General features: G+C 42.2%; 1 protein-coding gene across 18 annotated transcripts in view, besides 1 other annotated feature; it reads left to right on the top strand.

Moving 5' to 3' along the window:
* ZFP62 (ZFP62 zinc finger protein) overlaps positions 1-21301 on the top strand; it is a 34407-nt gene that overhangs the window by 1984 nt on the left and 11122 nt on the right. For 6 of the 18 annotated variants that reach the window (NM_001172638.2, NM_001377940.1, XM_047417499.1 and 3 more), the window contains one exon: positions 7800-11682. In NM_001172638.2, coding sequence (NP_001166109.1) covers positions 7800-10501 — 2702 coding nt within the window. In that variant the 3' untranslated portion in view covers positions 10502-11682. Of the gene's footprint in view, positions 1-7232; positions 7306-7799; positions 11683-12899; positions 15082-21301 lie in introns of those variants that run through there. The other 12 variants (NM_001377944.1, XM_047417503.1, XM_017009719.3 and 9 more) reach the window with 6 other exon arrangements.
* Positions 14510-14804: a silencer, noted in NCBI's record as "tiled region #9005; K562 Repressive non-DNase unmatched - State 18:Pol2". NCBI's record gives its function as "represses a minimal TATA promoter and a strong SV40 promoter by Sharpr-MPRA in K562 cells {active_cell/tissue: K562}" and the evidence as "EXISTENCE:reporter gene assay evidence [ECO:0000049][PMID:27701403]".

Here is a 21301-nt window from a genome sequence, read left to right as displayed (position 1 = left end):
TTGCTCATCTCCAAATCAAAGACAGTATCCAAGGATTTAAGGTGTAGAATCCACGCGTGAACCTTGAGGTGGTAGATTGTCTTGTGGAATATGGTTGGACTCTGCAAATTGAAAGTCGTTCCGGGCTAGTTGCAGTCTGTTAATAGGAAGGGGTTTTCGGCCAGAGCAGGCCACGGCTCCTCTCTAACGAGTTGTCTCGGCTCTTGAAAAGTGGCTCCTGAGTCTCGGAGGCAGAGACAGCAAGAATGTAGGGCCGGTTCTTAACTGTTTGCATTCACTTTTCTAGGCCTTGGCGATAAAGCATGAACAAGAAGCTCGGAAGAGTGCCCAGAGGTTGTTGGTCGTATGTAGTTTGGAAGGAGTGGGTGGCGTTCTATGTCTGACGCTTTTGGCTGATGTAACCAGGCTATTAGACTCATGCTGCGTGTTGAAAACTGGTTAGAAAGGGCTTGTCCATTCAGCCTTTAGAACTTTTAAGAAATTCAGGAGTTTCTGGGTCTTTATATGGAAGAGTTGTGTTTTGGGGGTAATTCCTTACTTGTGTCATCAGGGACACATGACTTAGCTACCAAATCAGTCTTGATTGGATTATAGTGACTTACTCCTGGAACTCCAGGACTCAGTCCTGTCTTGCCTCAATCCATTCTCCCACTGCAACTAGTGTGAGTGATCTTTCTTTTTTTTTGAGACAGAGTCTCGCTCTGTCACCGAGGCTGGAGTGCAATGGCGCTATCTTGGCTCACTGCAACCTCTGCCTCCCAGGTTCAAGCGATTCTTGTGCCTCAGCCTCCCAAGTCGAGTAGCTGGAACTACAGGTGTGCACCACCACATCTGGCTAATTTTTGTATTTTTAGTAGAGATGGATTCACCTCATTGGCCAGGCTGGTTTTGAACTCCTAGCCTCAAGTGATCTGTCTGCCTCAGCCTCCCAATGTGCTGAGATTACAGGCATGAACCACTGCACCTTGCCTGATCTTTTTAAAATATTTTTCTTTTTTTTCTTTTCTTTTTTTCTTTTTTTTTTTTTTTTTTTTTGAGACAGAGTTTCACTCTTCTTGCCCAGGCTGAAGTGCAATGGCACAATCTCAGCTTACTGCAACCTCCACCTTCTGGATTCAGGCAATTCTCCTGCTTCAGCCTCCCAAGTAGCTGGGATTACAGGTGCCCACCACCATGCCCAGCTAATTTTTTTTTTTTTTTTTAGTAGAGATGGGGTTTCACCATGTTGGCCAGGCTGGTCTCAAACTCCTGACCTCAGGTGACCCACCTGCCTCGGCCTCCGAAAGAGCTGGGCTTATAGGCGTGAGCCACTGTACCCGGCCTAAAGTTTTTTTCTTATGAACTTCCATATACCCATCACTTGGATTCAGCAATTATCAGGATTCTGCTGTTTAACTTTTCCCTTTTTAGTTTTTCCTGATTGAAATATTTTAAATTCCAGATTCCATGCCATTTCACTGCAGACTTCAGTCTGAATTTAAAAAAAAAAAAAAAAGGTCTGGGTGCGGTGGTTCACGCCTGTAATCCCAGCACTTTGGGAGGCTGAGACGGGTGGATCCCCTGAGGTCAGGCGTTGGAGACAGGCCTGCCAACATGGCAAAACCCCATCTCTACTAAAAATATAAAAATTAGCTGAGCATGGTGGCACATACCTGTAATCCCAGCTACTCGGGAGGCTGAGGCAGGAGAATCGCTTGAACCTGGGTGGTGGAGGCTGCAGTGTGCTGAGACGTGCCATTGCACTCCAGCCTGGGCAACAGAGCAAGACTCAGTCTCAAAAAAACAACAAAAAAAAAACAAAAGTTCTAACATAGCCACAATGCCGTTATTATACCAGCCTAAATTAGCTCTGATTCCTTGATATTATCTAACAGAGGTGGGCACACTGCTGGGCTTGTGGACTGTTTTTGTATGGCCTACAAACTAAGAATGATTTTTACACTTTTAAAGGAATGCTTAAACAAAAATAGTACTCAGCAGTTCTGTGTGGCCCACAAAGCCTAAAATATATGCTACCTGGTTCTTACAGAAAATGTTTGCCAACTCCAGTTTAATAAAATAAGTAATTTTTCCAAAACGCATATCCAAGTTTGCTACTCCTTTGCCCGAAGCTCCCGAGGATCAAGTCTGGACTCCTTATGGTTGCAGCCCTTGTCTTTGCCTACCTGTCTGATTTTCCCTTTGCCTGCCCCAGATGTCTTCGGGGGGTGAACACCAGTTCCTCTGTACCTGCTCTTCCCTTGGCACTCTTCTCTTCCTGAAGCTATTCCTGTAGTCCATCCCCCCTTTCCCACCCTCCATGTCCTGTATTTGCTTTTTTTTTTTTTTTTTTTTTTTTTTGAGACATAGTCTTGCTCTGTCACCCAGGCTGGAGTGCAGTGGCACGATCTCAGCTCACTGCAGGCTCGCCTCCCAGGTTCATGCCATTCTCCTGCCTCAGCCTCCCTAGTAGCTGGAGCTACAGGCGCCCACCACCATGCCCGGCCATTTTTTTGTATTTTTAGTAGAGATGGGGTTTCACGGTGTTAGCCAGGATGGTCTCGATCTCCTGATCTCATGATCTGCCCGCCTCAGCCTCCCAAAGTGCTGGGATTACAGGCGTGAACCACCATGCCCGGCCGCCTCTGTCATTTTTATCATATGGTTATTTTCCTACCAGACTCTCCTACTAGTCTGCAGGCACCTTGATGGCAGGGCCTTGTCATATCCATGTCTTTGGATAGGAATAGCCCGGGGCCTGGAAAACAAACAGGATGCAGACAATAGTCTTAAGTTCCTTGGGCAACACTTAGCCTCAGAAATAACTGATACCCTAGAATGCATCTCCAGTATTGTTTATAAGGATAACTTAATTATCCTTATGTGTTACATTCTTTGTATTGTCTTTATGTTTTAGCAGCATTTACTCTAGTGCTGTCTTGGTGCTTTTCTGCCTGTGTTTTTGATGGATCTTAGTATTGATTAACATAGATTTCATTTCAAGCCATCTATTTTCATTGAAGATGCATGTTTATGTTAATCCATTTTGATTTCACTCAAGAAGAGGATTGGATGAACTACATCAGGTGACGGGACATCATGCGCCCCAACCCAAACAGAGGGGTTTAAGCAGAGCCAGAACAGGGAGGCCCCTGGCCTTCACCTAGGTTAGAGAGGTAAGTGGCAAAGTGTCTGTGATTTTAGGCAGACCAGGCCAGTCAGCAGCCAGTCTAACATGGAATCCCAGAGGACAGGAAGAAAACGAATAATCCACTTGTCAAAGAAACAAAGGAGGACAGATCAGGCTGAGAATCAGTGAGTGGAGTGGCAGTGAGGGTTGACAGTTGCACAGGCGGCTGGTGCAGAAGGCTTTAGGTGCCACAGTAAGTAGCCTGGGAGAACTTGGCACTGCCCAGTGACTAGGTGTGCATTTTACAAAAATTCTTCACAGTGGTTGGAGAAAGAATTGGGCAGGGATAAGAGTGAAGGTCTAGAAACGATGGCAGTCATGCAGAAGAGAATTTAGAAGGCTCAAACTAAGGCCTTAGCAGTAAGAAGGAGGTGGGGGATGGGGTGGGAGCTTCAGAACTACTTAGGCAATAGAATCAGCGGTCCTAGGGGCTGTTTTGGATGTGGCCAAGGGAAGTAGCCCATTTCTGATTTAGGCAAAAGTGTGGGTGGCAAGGTGGATATGAGGCTCTGTAATTGAGAGGGATCCTGGGCAGAGATGAGGACCTGAGACGGTGTGTGGGAGTGCTGGGAGCCATGAGGGCTCCCAGGGGAATATGTGGAGCCAGGAGAGGAATGTCTCAAGGTGGAAGGAGGGGCCAGAAACATCCAGGGGCAGCAGCGCGGAGGGCAAGCAGCAGCCTGAAGACGCTAATGCAGTGTGGTCTGCGTGGAAGAAATGAGGCATGAGAGGAGTGGGATGTGAAGACCACTTTTTCCAGATACAACAGGCAGTAGGATGGCAAAGCAGTACCTGGAGGGGAAGGTGTAGAAGAGGAAACAAATTTGCTTTCTGATACTTTAAAAACTTTTTGTTTGGTAATAACTTCAAATGCACAGAAAAAATTCAAGAATACGAACAGTAAAAAGATTCCCATCACTCAGATTTACCTGCAGTTAACATTTGACTTCATTTTGTCCTCTTGCTCTCTCTTTCATACATGCAAGTATTTTTCTAAACCATTTGTAGGTAATTATATACATCATGGCCCTTTATCCCTAAATACTTCAGCGTATATTTCCTAAGGATTGGGATAGTCTCATAGATAACTACAGTAAGTTTTCAAATTGAGTAAATTGGAAGTTGATACTGCTTTTACCTAGTCTACCATCCATTTTCCAACTTTTTCAGCTGATGTAATTGTTTTCTATAACAATTTTCCCCTCCGCTACAGATCCAGTCAAGGTCAGGAATGTAATATAGTGGTCAAGTCTCTTTAGCCTTCTTTAATCTGGAACATTTGTACAGCTCTTCTTTGTCTTTTATGAAAATGATGTATTTGAAAAATACAGTCCCCCCTCTTCTCTCCACCCTCTGTTTTAGTAGAAAACATTGTTCGTTTTGGGTTTACCTGGTGATTCAGTTCATGTAATGCATTCTCATAGGTGATGTGTCCTTCTCCCTACTAAAAGCATATTATGTCTATCTGCCCCTCTGGAGGTGTTAAATTAGAACACCTGGCCAAGGCATTGTCTCTCCACTCTTGTATTTTTCCCCCTTGTAAATAATTTAAGCATTATAAATATTTAAGACCATGCGGATATCCTGCTCCTTGTCAGAATTTCCTCCTAGACGTAGAATTCACTGATGATTCTCTCCTGATCCAGTCTTTACTCTGATAGTTGCAGAGTGCTGACTTTTCCAATTCTGGTATTCCTTCTACATTTATCAACCAGCACTCACATTCTGCTGTAAGCAAGAGGCCTCCCTTTCTCCCCTGTTTGTACCTGTGTAGACTCATGAAATCCTATCTTCAGTGGTTTATAATGTATCACTATACTTAGTTATTACGGTGCTTGAACACTGGATGTTCAAGCTGGGTCTTGCAGCGTGTCCCTACCCTTTTTTTGAGCCTCTCTTTACTTGCTGGTATAGCATGATGCTCATCTTGTATGTTTCCTGCTTTCAGCCTGCAATCAGCCATTTCTTTGAGGAGCTCTGGTTCCTTTTAGTAAATAATGGTAATAGTAGACCCAGAATGGGGTACTAGATGTGCTCATTACCACTGGAGTGTTTTGTTTTTTGGGCTTTCAGCAAACAGAACTAGGAAATCAGGAAATATATGCAAATATATGCATACAGCCATACAGGCTTGAATATACATGCATGCACATATATGTGATTTAGAAATCATAAGTTCACACCAGTACTGCAAATTCATCCCAAGGTTCATTTTCGCCTTCTTCTCTTGCTTATTTTTATGTCCCTTTCTCTAGGAGAGCCCTGAGCCCAACAAAATCAACACATTTACTCAGGTTCTTAATACATCTAAAGTTGTTTCAGAATCGCTTTGTTCATACCTCTACAGAAAACCTGCTAACAGTTGAATTATTTGTACCTCTTCCCACTGCCCCGCCTCCAGCTTTCCCCAGACTGAATGTACTTACGTAGTCAAATACGTTTCTAAGTTGCCTGGATTACTTCTGTATTTCTTTTTTGTTCTCTTCCTGCGATTGTGGTATTCATGGGAAATGCAAATAGGTTGATTTGTTTTGTTTTAGCAGTTTTTCTCCTTTCCCATCCTCACTGATGTTTAATTTTATTCTTTGAATATGTAGAATATTATGTATTTTGTATAGTAAAAACTATTAAAAAGGCTATATACTCGGAGTCTCTCTCTTTCTCCCATCCCTTCTGCTCCATTCTCCACACTCCTCCCTTGTAGGTGATGAACCTCATTGTTCTCTGGTTTATCGTTGCTATAAAGAGAAACACATACGTGCTTGTTTTCCTGTTTTCTTTCCTACACGAAACGTAGCATGTATATTACTCTTTTTCACTTTGACCTTTTGACTTTAGGATATACAGATTGCTCCATATCAATTCAGAAGCGCTCCTCGTCCTTTTTCAGTACTCCGTTGTGTATATGCTCCAGTTTATTTAACCAGTCTTCTGTGCTTGGAGATTTATGTAGGTTTCCAGATTTTGCAGTTACAATTAATGCTATAATGAGTCACTCTGTGCATGTATGTTTTTTATATTGTTGGAGGTGTATCTTCATTATAAATTCCTAAAGTAGGACTTCTGGGTAAATGCATATGTAGTTTTGATAGATATTGGCAAATTCCCCTTAAAAGGGGCTGTGCCAGTTTGCATTCCCAGCAGTGTATGAGAGTGCCTGTTTCCTCCACAGCCTTATCAACAGTGTATTGTCAAGCTTTGAACATTTGCTAATATGACAGGTGAGAAGTGGTGTTTTACAGTAGTTCTTATTTATCTTTCTCTCATTATGAATCAAGTCGAATGTTTAAGGACCATTTAAAAGAATTGTTTGTTCATCTTTTTACCTGTTTTCCTGTATGATTTGTAGTTTATTTTTCTTCAGTTTTTGAAAATGTATCAGTCTTTTGTTGCATATGAGTCATCATTAGAAAGCTTCCTCTATACTCAGGCCAGAGAGGCATTTACCCATGTTTTCTGGCATTTGTACAGCTTTTTTATATTTAGAGCTCTATTCCATATGGAGTTTATTCATGTGTGTATGGTGTGAAGAATGGGATCTAATTGTATCTTTTTTTTTTTTTTTTTTTGTGAGACGGAGTCTTGCTCTGTCACCAGGCTGGAGTGCAGTGGAACGATCTCGGCTCACTGCAACCTCTGCCTCCCAGGTTCAAGTGATTCTCCTCCCTCAGCCTCCCAAGTAGCTGGGATTAGAGGTGCGTGCCATCACGCCCAGCTAATTTTTGTATTTTTACTAGAGACGGCTTAACCATGTTGGCCAGGATGGTCTCGATCTCTTGACCTCGTGATCCGCCCACCTCAGCTTCTCAAAGTGGTGGGATTACAGGTGTGAGCCACTGCACCCAGCCTTAATTTTATCTTTTTCCATATGGCTTCATAGTTGTTACAACACTATTAAAAGGACCATCTTTTCTCTGGTAATTTCAGATATCATCTGTATCATTAATTTCTGTGTCTACCTGGGACAATGTCTGGACTTCCTGTTCTATTCCATTTGCCTGTCTATGTACCAGGACCATACTATTTTAATTATAGACGTTTAATAATATATTTTAATATGCAGGTTGCCTTCTTCCTCATCTCTGCAGTAACTGTCTTCATGGTTTCATAGCCTTCTCCCTGATACCCCTCCCCAGGTACTAATTTTTTCTCTTTAGTTTTGTCTGTCCTCTGCTGATTTTGTCTAACTTTTCATAATAAAAAAAAGTTTTACCTAACTTTTGTCCTACTTATGAATTTTTCTGTCTTCTTCAGAGATTTCTTCTGCCCTCTTGTTTGTTTTTCCATGACTGGGTGACATTGTTTAAAAACTGATTGGTGTTGCCCATGGTTCTGTGCATCATTTCACCCTGCCCTATGCTAAGCTGTTATGCAAGAATAGAAAAGCTCATTGTTCCATTGAAAATCCAGGGTTCTAGCATTTTAACATTAGTTCCACAGGGGCAGAAATTTTGTCATATTCATTGTTGTATCCCTAGTACTTAAAAACCGGTACATGGCACATGGTACCTGTCACACAGTATGTTGTCAGTAAATGTTTGTCAAGTGAATGTTGTTCATTGTTATTCCAGTTTGTTTTTGTTTTTTTTTAAGAGAGTGAATAGGTGTCCTTTTCATTTTCTTGGTTTAGTGTCACATTTGAAGACGAGCACTGAGGATGAGGAACCAACTGAAGAATATGAAAATGTTGGAAATGCAGCATCTAAGTGGCCAAAAGTGGAGGATCCTATGCCTGAATCTAAGGTTGGTGACACATGTGTTTGGGATAGCAAGGTAGAGAATCAACAGAAAAAGCCTGTGGAAAACAGGATGAAGGAGGACAAAAGCAGCATCAGGGAAGCAATCAGCAAAGCCAAGAGTACAGCAAATATAAAGACAGAACAGGAAGGTGAGGCATCTGAGAAGAGCTTGCATCTGAGCCCACAGCATATCACACACCAGACTATGCCTATAGGACAGAGAGGCAGTGAGCAAGGCAAACGTGTGGAGAACATTAATGGAACCTCCTACCCTAGTCTACAGCAGAAAACCAATGCTGTTAAGAAATTACATAAATGTGATGAATGTGGGAAATCCTTCAAATATAATTCCCGCCTTGTTCAACATAAAATTATGCACACTGGGGAAAAGCGCTATGAATGTGATGACTGTGGAGGGACTTTCCGGAGCAGCTCGAGCCTTCGGGTCCACAAACGGATCCACACTGGGGAGAAGCCGTACAAGTGTGAGGAATGTGGGAAAGCCTACATGTCCTACTCCAGCCTTATAAACCACAAAAGCACCCATTCTGGGGAGAAGAACTGTAAATGTGATGAATGTGGAAAATCCTTCAATTATAGCTCTGTTCTGGACCAGCATAAAAGGATCCACACTGGGGAGAAGCCCTATGAATGTGGTGAGTGTGGGAAGGCCTTCAGGAACAGCTCTGGGCTCAGAGTCCACAAAAGGATCCACACGGGGGAGAAGCCCTATGAATGCGACATCTGTGGGAAAACCTTCAGTAACAGCTCTGGCCTTAGGGTCCATAAAAGGATCCACACAGGTGAGAAACCTTACGAATGTGATGAGTGTGGGAAGGCCTTCATTACTTGTAGAACACTTCTCAACCATAAAAGCATCCACTTTGGAGATAAACCCTATAAATGTGATGAGTGTGAGAAATCTTTTAATTATAGCTCTCTTCTCATTCAGCATAAAGTCATCCACACTGGAGAGAAACCTTATGAATGTGATGAATGTGGGAAGGCTTTCAGGAACAGCTCAGGCCTCATAGTGCATAAAAGGATCCACACAGGAGAGAAACCTTACAAGTGTGATGTCTGTGGCAAAGCATTCAGCTATAGCTCAGGCCTCGCAGTCCATAAAAGCATTCACCCTGGGAAGAAAGCCCATGAATGTAAGGAGTGTGGGAAATCCTTTAGTTATAACTCACTACTTCTTCAACACAGAACTATTCATACCGGAGAGAGACCTTATGTATGTGATGTGTGTGGGAAAACGTTCAGAAACAATGCAGGCCTCAAAGTCCACAGGAGGCTCCATACTGGGGAAAAACCATATAAGTGTGATGTGTGTGGGAAAGCCTATATCTCACGCTCTAGCCTTAAAAATCACAAAGGAATCCACCTTGGGGAGAAGCCCTATAAATGTAGCTATTGTGAGAAATCCTTCAACTACAGCTCTGCCCTTGAACAGCATAAAAGGATTCATACCAGGGAAAAACCCTTTGGGTGTGATGAGTGTGGTAAAGCTTTCAGAAATAATTCTGGCCTTAAAGTACATAAACGAATCCACACTGGGGAACGACCTTACAAATGTGAAGAATGTGGGAAAGCATACATCTCTCTCTCGAGCCTTATAAATCATAAAAGTGTACACCCTGGGGAGAAGCCCTTTAAGTGTGACGAGTGTGAGAAGGCCTTCATCACATACCGAACCCTTACAAACCACAAAAAAGTTCATCTTGGGGAGAAGCCCTACAAATGTGATGTGTGTGAGAAATCTTTTAATTACACATCGCTCCTTTCTCAGCACAGAAGGGTCCACACTAGAGAGAAACCCTATGAATGTGACAGGTGTGAGAAGGTCTTCAGAAACAACTCAAGCCTTAAAGTTCATAAAAGAATCCATACTGGGGAGAGGCCCTATGAATGTGATGTGTGTGGAAAAGCCTACATCTCACACTCAAGCCTTATTAACCATAAGAGTACCCACCCTGGCAGGACACCCCATACATGTGATGAATGTGGAAAAGCTTTTTTCTCAAGCAGAACTCTTATAAGCCATAAAAGAGTCCATCTTGGGGAGAAACCCTTCAAGTGTGTTGAGTGTGGGAAATCTTTCAGTTACAGCTCTCTCCTTTCTCAGCACAAGAGGATCCACACAGGGGAGAAACCCTATGTGTGTGATAGGTGTGGGAAGGCCTTCAGGAACAGCTCAGGCCTCACAGTGCATAAAAGGATCCACACAGGTGAGAAACCCTATGAATGTGATGAGTGTGGGAAGGCATACATCTCACACTCAAGTCTTATCAATCATAAAAGTGTCCACCAGGGGAAGCAGCCCTATAATTGTGAGTGTGGGAAATCCTTCAATTATAGATCAGTCCTTGACCAGCACAAAAGGATCCACACTGGAAAGAAGCCATACCGATGTAATGAGTGTGGTAAGGCTTTTAATATCAGATCAAATCTCACCAAGCATAAAAGAACCCATACTGGAGAGGAATCTTTAAATGTGATATATGTGGGAAGTTATAGTGGCACATCCCAGAAGAGAACCTATGAGGGAGGGAATGCCCTGGATGGGGGCAGGATGAGGATGCCTCTGTAGCAGGCAGAGCTTACCAAGTCTCTCCGAACTCAAATGGAAGAAATACCTTATGAATGTAAGAATGTAGGGGGTCATGGCTTGTAATTTACACAGTGTAAATGAAACCATCCTAGAGGATTATGAGGAATCCTTTCTATGTGATTTTCAATCATAGCAAGCAAGAAAGGCTCCAGTGTCAAGGTAGTTCAGCTCTTACAGGATATAAAACAGTCCATACTTGAGAGAAAAACTTAGATCTGAGTGATGGAATGTGAAGCAAATCTTCAAAATCAGTAGACATTTCTGGACATAAAACACAGATGAGGAAAGGGCTTCAATTAGAAGTTACGTAATCACCATCAGAAAGTTCATGTTTGGTAAATTCTGTTACTAGAAATGTAGGAAATTCAGGTATAGCTTTGAATCCCAATTACACATTGGTCAGTGGGAAAACTAAGGGCCTCCAACAGGCAAATTCAGGGAGGATAGGTTTCAGGGAATATAAATTTATTTAATATTAGTGGTCTTTAAGTATAAACTTGATGTAATTGGTTTGGGAGGGGGCAGTGATGATGACTTCTGAAACAAAATTTGGATTTCCTTTTAGGAAAAGTAGAAAGCATAGACTTACAAGTCTAACAGGAGATAGGAGAGAGTCACTCATAAAAAATGCAAATTGATGAACGTACTATTGTGATACATTAGTTGAATGGATGAAACTTTTTTAAAGTTTCAGATGAACTCCCATAATGAATGATGAATTTGTGATGAGGGATAACCTGGAAGTGGTATTCACACATTATGCTACAATAAAAGGTTCTACCGTGGAGAGGATTTTGACACATTCAGTAACTAATGGAACACACCGTCAACATGAATTCGCACCTTACATGACAGAAGTGATTCAGGGATTCCTATGAATAGAAATGCTGAGAAGGAACGCATTTTATTGCAGAAGCTAAAAAGCTAAAGTACCAGTCATCTAGAGAGAAGGAAATTAATGTTTCTTAATAATCCTGTTAAATGTTTGATTGTTTTTGGAATGTGTTATTGTAAAGATGTCATGCAGGACATGTATATGTTGTCTGTTGTAAAATGTTAACGAATACTTTGTTCAGGGCTCACTCTCTCTTTGTCATGAAAGCCAGCTCCTTGTGGCGAGGTAAAGTGGAATTCCAATAAAGAAATTCCTTAAATCAAAACGGGCTGTGAGTTTAGATGGAGGATACCCAAGAGCCATTTGTGTGCCAGATCTTTGTTGGGTAAGTTATACCAGATCCAAACCAGAGAGGGTAGTAGACTCATCCCACAGGGCTAGCAGCTCAGCTGGTTTCACCAGAAGTTAGAAGGTGCCTCCCTAGGAGGAGCACAGGATAGATTTTGAGGGGACCACAGTGGAGCCATGTGATCGTCGTTACTGGGCCAGATCCTAACTCGGGAGCAGGTAGGTTGTGTGAGTGATCAGTCACCACACACAGCTCTGTCAGGAACATGTAGAATTGAACATAAACTACTGCTGTGTATGAAGCTGTTAACTAGGTAACTCAAAGGGTAAAAATAGACTCTTCTGAGAATTGAGTAACCTGTCTGAGAATACTGTGAGTGGGCCAATCAGCAAAGGCTGAATTTGAAGTCTGGTATCTGGTTTCAAAACCCATTGTCTTTACAAGAGAACAATCTCAGCCATGTAGTTTCCCATCTCCTTCTGGGACTCCTATCTCTGTAGCCAGATAGTTTCCATGCTCTTTCTAGGAGTATATTTGTTTCACTTTGTATCCAAACCCCTACCAGTAAGTTTTGATGGCTGCGGTGGGGAAGGGTGGAGTTGAGGGAGGAAAGGGAGATGGAGCATTTCTACCACTGCTCCACTTGGACTGTTCTGATCATACTTGCTCTCTATCCTCCTTTGCACATGACACTGGCAAGCCTGACCCTATACACAGACTTGGACTGATTTATTCAGCAAATACTTGAGGATCTACTAGGCACTGTCCCTGTCCCAGGTACTGGGTGGGAGAGGATGGCAGCAGGAGTAGATTCTGGTAGATGAGGATGAATAAAGGGAGAAAGGCTGTGAGCACAACCACCCTAATGGATGAATTAAGACTGCAGGTGCTCAGAGGACAGCGACTAGGACCAACCAAGAGGGAGGAATTGGTGACATCTGGGCAGGACGTTGAATTGGGTTTTCTGAGAGGAGTAGGAACTAGGATGACCTGAGTAAAGGCAGCTACGGAAGTGCCCAGGCATCCTCCAGCAAGGCTGGTCTCTGGCAGGGCTGATGTGTGGGCAGGAAGGAGGGTGCCATGGAGTACTCGTTCCCCGTAGTCGTGGGGACATGGATTGGGCTTCTTTTTGCTGAAGATGAGACCAGCTTTGGTTGTTTTTAACCTGAGGTTTCCATGTGCTCCTCACACAGGAGAGCTCCCGTACTTGAGCTCCAGCTGAACCTAATGCACTGTCTACTTTTGGGGAGATGCAGGCTAAATAACAAAGGAGAGGATGGCCACAGCTCAGGTGGGGATTCTGAGTGCCTCAGCCCCACTAAGCACCAGACAAGCTCCTACTGCGGCCCCCATCTACTCGCATGCTCCAGAAATGGGCCCAGGTCCTCAAGTGTACCTACAGCCAGATACAAGCCATTCAGGCTGATCCCAGACATGGTGGGGTCTCCCTTGTAGCACAGACCCAATGAACTGGTGCGGCTGAGCCTGCTCAGACCAGGGATGGAACATGGTTTAGGCACCACCCCCGGTTCCTTCCAGAGAACGATATGCAAGTGGGAAAAATAAAGGGGGAGGGAAAAGCGGGGAGGAGAAAGAGAAAAGAAAAGCCTGAAAAAACAGTGAGTATGGAATAGCCTTCCATAGGAGTGCATGTCTCTATTAGCAAATTTGTCTGAAGGTGAAAGCCTGGAAAATAATTTCATGTTTTGTGTATGAAGACACTGGGCGTGAAACGGTACTGAACACCAATCCTGCAATGCAGGGGAATTTTCCTCCGTGGGATTCAGAAATGAGAGGATCACCACCAGGACAACACCTGAAGATGGTGTTAGCTGAAGGCAGACATTGGGGACCTGAAGTCTGTCTGCATCAAGACCTTGAGTAATTGGCCACAGCTGTACCCAAGGAGTTCCTGGGCTGGGGAGACCCTTCATTTCTCTTCTCCAGCTTCAGCTAAAGGCCTAGAGACATGGAGAAGGAAGCAGAATACAGTACTTCAATTGTCTTCCTACTGAGGAGCCATTCTCATTTAGACCTGGCGGTTCTCAGGTCTGGATAGTGTCATTGTGCGAAGGAAGCCGTTTGCATGAAACCTGTGTAGAGTCAGTGAAGTATAGTGGCCGAGGACATGGTCTCCACAAGGAAGCCTGAGTTCAAATAAGGACTTTCACTTATTTCCAGATGACTTTAGGCAAGTAACTAAACTTGTGTGTCCTCACGTGTCTTTTTTTTTTTTTTTTTTTTTTTTTTTTTTTTTTTTAAGACGGTCTCGTTCTGTCGCCCAGGCTGGAGTGCAGGGGCATTAGCTCACTGCAGTCTCCACCTCCTGAGCTCAAGCAATTCTCATGCCTCAGCCTCCAGAGTAGCTGGGATTACAGGCATGCGCCACCATGCCAGGCTAACTTTGGTATTTTTGGTAGAGAAAGGGTTTCATCATTGTTGGCTGGGCTGGTCTTGAACTCCTGACCTCAAGTAATCTGCCCAGCCTCAGACTCCCAAGGTGCTGAGATTACAGGCCTGAACCACCACAGGCTACCATACTGGGCCCTCACCTGTCTTTTGTAAAGATAATAGTAGCAACCTCAGGTTGTAATGAGGGTTGGAAACATTAATAGTGTTAAGGTCCTTAGAAGGCTGCCTAGAATGAGAAGTATTTGCATAAGAATGTATGGAATAAGTCTGAAGTGTGGTGGCCCTGTCCAAAGACTCAGCATCTAGATGCTTGGGCAGTGGAGGACAACTCTTACCTGGAAGTCAAGGAAATCCCTCAAGGACCACCCCCTACTCAGACAAAACTTGAGAAGAAACATGAGAAAAGTTATTTTTTGGATGTTCCTGAGTGGTATCTTGCTTCTAAGTAAGCAATCCATTGTCTCTAAACAAACATGTTTTGTCTTTGTCGGGCTGCAAAAGGGCTCAGCAGGAGGAGCCTCCAGCTGAGGCCAGTAACCACACGTTGGGGGTTGAGGGCTGCCTCACGCTTGCCTTTCTGGCCTGGGCAGCCTGCTCACTCACATGGTACACATCTTGTTTCCCCTGTGTTTTCCCAGCAATATTCAGATGTGCTGGAGATTACTGTAGGAAGGGTTGGTGAGAGCCAGACTTTTACCATCTTAACCATGGCTATTTCTGGTGAGTGTCCCTTAAGATCTCAGAGGATAAGTAGTGGTCCTGGGGTGGGCAGGGCAAAGCCCCAGAGAGGAGCAGGTGAAGTTCCTCTGGTCTTGGGTGCAAACCATGGGGCCATATTCCATTCAGTGCAATAATATGGATTTATTTCCTGTTCTGTCATTTTCCCATCTGTAAAATGAGGGAAAAGACCTGTTTACAAGATTATTTTAAGGCTTAATAAAAATGCTCTGTACTTTATAAAAATTTTGTACAAACGTTGTTAAATTGACTATCTTTTTAAAAGTTGAAGGAGATAAGAATGAGAGCAAAAGTTGATGAAACAGCAAACACAACAAAGAACAACAAAGTCAAGGTTGCTGCTTTGAAAAGACAAAATTGGTAAACCTCTGATGTGATTGAGAAAGAAAAGCACAAATAATCAAAGTCAGGAATGAAAATTGGGAAATCACAACAGATTCCATGGCTTATTTAGAAGTATATTTTTTAACTTCCAAACATGGGAATTTCCTAGTTATATTTTTGTTATTGTTGTTACAAAACATGGTCCATGTGACTGCTGTCCTTTGAATTGTGTTGAGATTTGCTTTATGGCCCAGCATGTGTTTAACCTTAGTGAAGATTTGTGGGCACTTGAAAAGAATGCATGTTCTGCAGATGCCGCATGCAGTCATCTACATAAAGCCATTAGATTGTAATACGTTGTTCATATCTTCTCTGCTCTTAATGAAGTTTTATTTGCTTCTATTAATGAGACAATTGTTGAGTTATCTCTACTTAGATATAGTTCTGTGAACTTTGCTTTATATATTTGAGGCCACACAAATATAAAATTGTTATATGAATTGAAATTTTATGAAGTAAACCTTTTATCCCTAGTAATGCCTTTTACTAAAAGTCTCTTTTTTTCTGGTATTAATAACATCAGCTTCTTTTTTGGTTACCGTTATATGGCATTTCTCTTTCTTTACTTTCACGCTTTCTGTATTTTTATGTTTTAGATGTACCTCTTGGAAATAGCATATAGTTTGTTTTAATCCAGTCTGATAACTTACTTTAACAGGATCATTTAGCCCTTTAATTTATAGTTATGAATGATTCTATTCATACTCTATTTTTCCATCTTTTGGTTTGGAAGTTATATACTTTTTCTCTTCTTTTAGTGGCCTAGGAATTAAAAGGTGGATTCTTGACTTACCAAAGCCTAATGTTAATTGATACTTTTATCTTCGTCCTAGACAATGCAAAGTTCCTAGAATACTTCTTACCTTCCATCCTATATGCTGTTGTTTTGGTTAATTTTAATTATATATACATATAAATGTACATATATATTAAAATATGTTATTATTTTCTATACCAAACGTTTAATTACTTTTCTTTTTTTTTAAATTTATTTATTTATTTTTTTTTTTTGGAGACAGTCTTGCTTTGTCACCCAGGCTGGAGTGCAGTGGCAAAATCTCGGCTCACTGCAATGGCTACCTCCCAGATTCAAGCAATTCTCCTACCTCAGCCTCCCCAGTAGCTGGGACTATAGGCACACACCACCATGCCCGGCTAATTGTTGTATTTTTAGTAGAGACGGGGGTTTCACTGTGTTGGCCAGGCTGGTCTTGAACTCCTGACCTCAGGTGATCCACCTGCCTTGGCCTCCCAAATTGCTAGGATTACAGGCATGAGCCACCATGCCCAACCTTTTCATTTCCTTTCATTCTTCTCCACCTCTGCAATTTTTTATTTGGGGACATTTTCCTTCTCTCTAGAAAACTTTCTTTAGAATACTCTGTCCTGTTAGAGGTAAAACTTCACAATTTTTATTTGCCTAAAAATAACTTCATTCTTAAAAATGGTTTTTTGTGGGAATAGAATTCTAGGTTAGACCTCATGTTCTTTTGTCACATTGGATGCATTAAGCCACTGAAGTGTGATTTCCACTCTGGCTGTTCATCTGCCAGTTTAATGTATTCTTTTTAAAATAGCTTCTTTTAAGATTTTTTTAATCTTCGGTTTATTCCAGTTTCACTGTGTTTTATTTTGGTGTGGATTTTTTATAAGTGATCCTTTTTTGTATACTCTGGGCTTTTAAATTTGTGTATTTATCTTTCATGAGTTTTGGTAAATTCTCAGCCATTGTGTGCTCAGATATTAGCTCTATACCATTCTTTTTTCATTTCCTTCTAGGACTCCAAATAAAGCCTTCTCACTGTATCTCCTGTGCCTCTTAAGTGCTCGTTTCCATCCTTTTGTCCCCTACTCCTTACCCAGGCTTCATTCTGGATCTAATTTACCTTCCAGTTCACTAAGTTTCTCTTTAGCTATGTAATCTGGCTTAAATATACCCATTGAGTGCTCAATTTAAGTTTTTCTGTTTCTCAGTAATAGACTTTTCATTTGCTTCCTTTTTTCTGGAGACGGAGTATCACTCTGTCGCCCAAGGTTGGAGTACAGTGGCAAAATCTGGGCTCACAGCAACCTCTGCCTTCCAGGTTCAAGCAATTCTTACGCCTCCCATGTAACTGGGATTACAGGTGTGCACCACCATGCCTGGCTAATTTTTGTATTTTTAGTAGAGAGGGGTTGTGCTGTGTTGCCAGGCTGGTCTCAAACTCCTGACCTCAAGTGATCTGCCCACCCCAGCTTCCCAAAGCTCTAGGATTACAGGCATGAGCCACAGCACTGGACCTTCTTCCTTTTTCATAGTATGCCAGATTCTCAAATGTAGCTTTATTTTCCTTGAACATAGTAGCATTTTTAGTTTAAAAGCTGTGTCTGATAGCATCTGTGGCAGTGCTTTCTCTGATGTTGACTCTGAGTGTGTCACCTATTCTCTGCATTAGATTTCTTCCATCTGAACACTTGAGTGGTTTCTGATTTTCAGGTTAGAATCTGACTGATAGACTGCTGTCTGCATGCTCTTAATCTGGGCCTTACAATTTTCTACAGAATCCTTTCACAGCCCACAGCCCACAGCCCCTCTTTGTATTTTGTTAACTTTCAGTAAAAGGGAACTTGGTTCAAGAACTGTAAAAGTTGTTGTCTGAACCCAAAATTCTAAAGGGAATCCAAACTGGGAAAGAAAAAATCCTCGCCTCAAGTTCCTAGCCTTAGTAAAAAGTATATATATATATATATATGTGTGTATGTATATATATATGTGTATGTATATATATGTATGTATATATATATGTGTGTGTGTGTGTGTATATATATATGGATATAGCACACTGCCATGCTTTCCATTTTGTTTCAGTTGGTCTCTTATCCAGCAAGTTCATTTTCTTTCCACAAAACAATATCTGGGATACAAGAGGTTAGCTATTTGCTAATAGTTAAGACGTTTTGGGGTCATTTCAATTCAGTATTTTTAATGTTTCATTCAGAAGTCATTTGAATAACTAAGAAGTTATTTCTTAGACCCTGTCCTCAGAATACACCATTGCAACAAAAAACAAAAAAACCTCAGCACAAATCATGGAGTTCCTAGGTTCCAGCGTCCTTCTTTTTCTGGACGCTTTTTTCCTCTAAAAACAAAGATTGACTCAAGCATGTAACAACAGAAATACTGTGATAGCAATACTATGCTAACATTTTTATTTATTCCTGTGATCTTAACACCTTCCTCCCCAACCCCAACACACACACACACACACACACACACACACACAAATTGTTTTAGCTACTTCTATTTTTTTTTTGAGGCAGATTCTCGCTCTGTCGCCCAGGCTAGATAGAGTGCAGTGGCGGGATCTTGGCTCACTGCAACCTCCACCTCCAGGGTTCAAGCGATTCTCCTGCCTTAGCCTCCTGAGTAGCTGGGATTACAGGCGCCCACCACATGCCCGGCTCATTTTTGTATTTTTAGTAGAGATGGGGTTTCACTGTGTTGGCCAGGCTTGTCTCGAACTCCTGACCTTATGATCCACCTGCCTCAGCCTCCCAAAGTGCTGGGATTACAGGCCTGAGCCACCATGCCCAGCCATTTTAGCTGCTTCTATGGGAAGAGTTACGTTTCCCAGTTTGATTCTCATCTCTACCCACACCTAGAATCCTGCAAGTTATCTAGTTTATCTTGTCTGGAAACTGGCTGATTGACATCCAGTGGGGCTTTGAGGGGCATCTTCAAAGCCTTCCCCATCCCCAGCTCCTCAACTCCCTCTGAAGCTGACTGCCCCTTTTCACGGCCAGTGCATTTAGGAGAAGCCAGGGATCTGCCCCTGAACATAACTAGGCCTTGGCTAAGACCACTGTCCACTGTGCCCAAGCAGTCAGGCACATGGGACAGTGGACAAACACCATGGCTAGAACATCTTCATGGAACACGCCCTCATGATGCAATGGCCTTGTGGCACTTACTGTGGAGGCCTCCACCTGGGGATCCTCAGCTCGCCTCTCTGGCCTTCCTGACATTCTTTCTTTAGGCAGTCCCACAACTAGTATGTTAGGTGGGCTGGGGGCTGGTGGAAAGGGACCACAAGCATATACCCATTGTAAGGTTAGTTCTTCATTAATTAACCAGGGATTCAAAATCTTACCAGAAGCAAAATGGTGGGTGGGGCAGAGAAAAAACAAATTCAGCACATCACTGTGAAGCTGTCCTTGGCGCTGGGAGTTCTTAAGGGGGTAGGAGGCAAGCAGATCTGGAACACTTATTTCCTGTCAGGACACAACCATTTTATTTTTTATTTATTGTAACTTTTAGGTTCAGGAGTACATGTGCAGGTTTGTTATGTAGGTAAACTGTGTCACAGGGATTTGGTGTTCAAATTGTTTCATCACCCAGGTAATAAGCATAGTACCCAATAGGAATTTTTTCTGATACTCTTCCTCCTCCTGCCCTTCACCCTCAAGTAGGCCTCAGTGTCTGTTTTTCCCCTCTTTGTATCCATGTGTTCTCATTGTTTAGCTCCCACTTGTAAGTGAAAACATGCGGTATTTGGTTTTTCCGTTGCAGCATTAGTTCTCTTAGGATAATGGCCTCCAGCTCCACTCATGTTGCTGCAAAGGATGTGATCTCCTTTTTTATGGCTGCATAGTATTCCATGAACACAACCATTTTAAACTAAGGGATTAGGTGACTGTTATGAAAGAAACTAAGTAATTTGTGCTTTAAGGAATTCATACAAACAGGCTGTCATGGTTCCTGAACCAGCCTCAGTATCACCAGGGCAGCATGTGAGAGGAAGTTGAGGCAGTATCTTGGCACTGTTTTTAGCCACTGCTCTATACCAGGCCTTTATATGAGTGCTTTTGCTTCTAAACATACGCTTTTGGTTTTTAACAAAAGGAACCTGACTGTATATACATGATATTGGCACATTTGCATTTAGACAGTAGCTCACCTTTCTGTAAAAGTCCACATACATCTTTCTGCATTCTTTCTAAGGGTTTCCTAGTACACTCATTGTATAGTTATACCATACTTTACTTAACCCCCTCATGATAAATGTTTTGGTGGTTTCCAGTTTTTGTTAGTATCAACAGTGTTGCAGTAAAATACATTTTTCTCTCCTGTATGTTATCCTACAAATACATTTCTAAAGGCAGAATTGCTGAGTTAAGATTTGCTTTTAAATTTTTGCTACATACTGGAAAATTGCTCTCCAAAAATATTGTAACAATTTATACTTTTGACAATAGTGTATGAAACTTTGTTTCTCCACACCTTCACAAACACTAGGTATTATCAACATTTTTCACCTTTTACCAAACTGATGGTTAACAAATGCTCTTTTTAAAAAAATTTTATTTTGAAACAATCTAAACTTGCCAAAGAAGTATAGTATAAAACTTTTTCCTTCCTGAACCATTTGAGAATAAGCTTCTGATATGATGCCCCATCACCTCAGAATACTTTTGAGTGTGTATTTCCTACAAGAACCTCCTACATCATCAGCATACAACCATGAAAATTAGGGACTCAACATCAATTCATTACTACTACCTAATGCTCAGACCCCGTGCAAGTTTCTTTCATTGTCCTAATGTCCTTTAGAGCAAAGATTTCAGTTTAGAATTGTGCATTGTGAGTGTTGCATCTTTTTAGTCTCCTTCAATCTAGAATGGTGCCTCAGCCCTTCCTCAACTTTCATGACTTTTCAAAATTGCCCTACTCACCTCACTTGGGCAGTGACACCCTCACTCCCTGCATGGTCCCCTCTTCACCTTGCTTGGGCACTGAGACCCATGCCAGGCCATGCTCCACCACCACATGGGCCTCCTTGACTCCCTCCTCACCCTGCTTGGGCTCCAACACCTAGCTTCAGGACAATGAAGTTCTGTCCCCCCACAACAGAATCCCATCTTGTTTGGTTTTGTGTAACGGGAGCTGAATTGTTAAGGAAGGGAAGGGAATTCTTTTTTTCATCTCTTAGTAGAAATTTAAGATTTCCTATACACAGGTCCAGTTAAGTTTATTCCTAGCTTCAATAAATGTTTAAAGGAGAGTCAACATCCTCAACAACTT

Source organism: Homo sapiens, chromosome 5 (genome assembly GCF_000001405.40).
Source record: "Homo sapiens chromosome 5, GRCh38.p14 Primary Assembly".
Taxonomy (NCBI): Eukaryota; Metazoa; Chordata; class Mammalia; order Primates; family Hominidae; genus Homo; species Homo sapiens.
The sequence above is the reverse complement of the archived record's forward strand: the minus strand, read 5'-3'. Positions and strand labels throughout refer to the sequence as shown.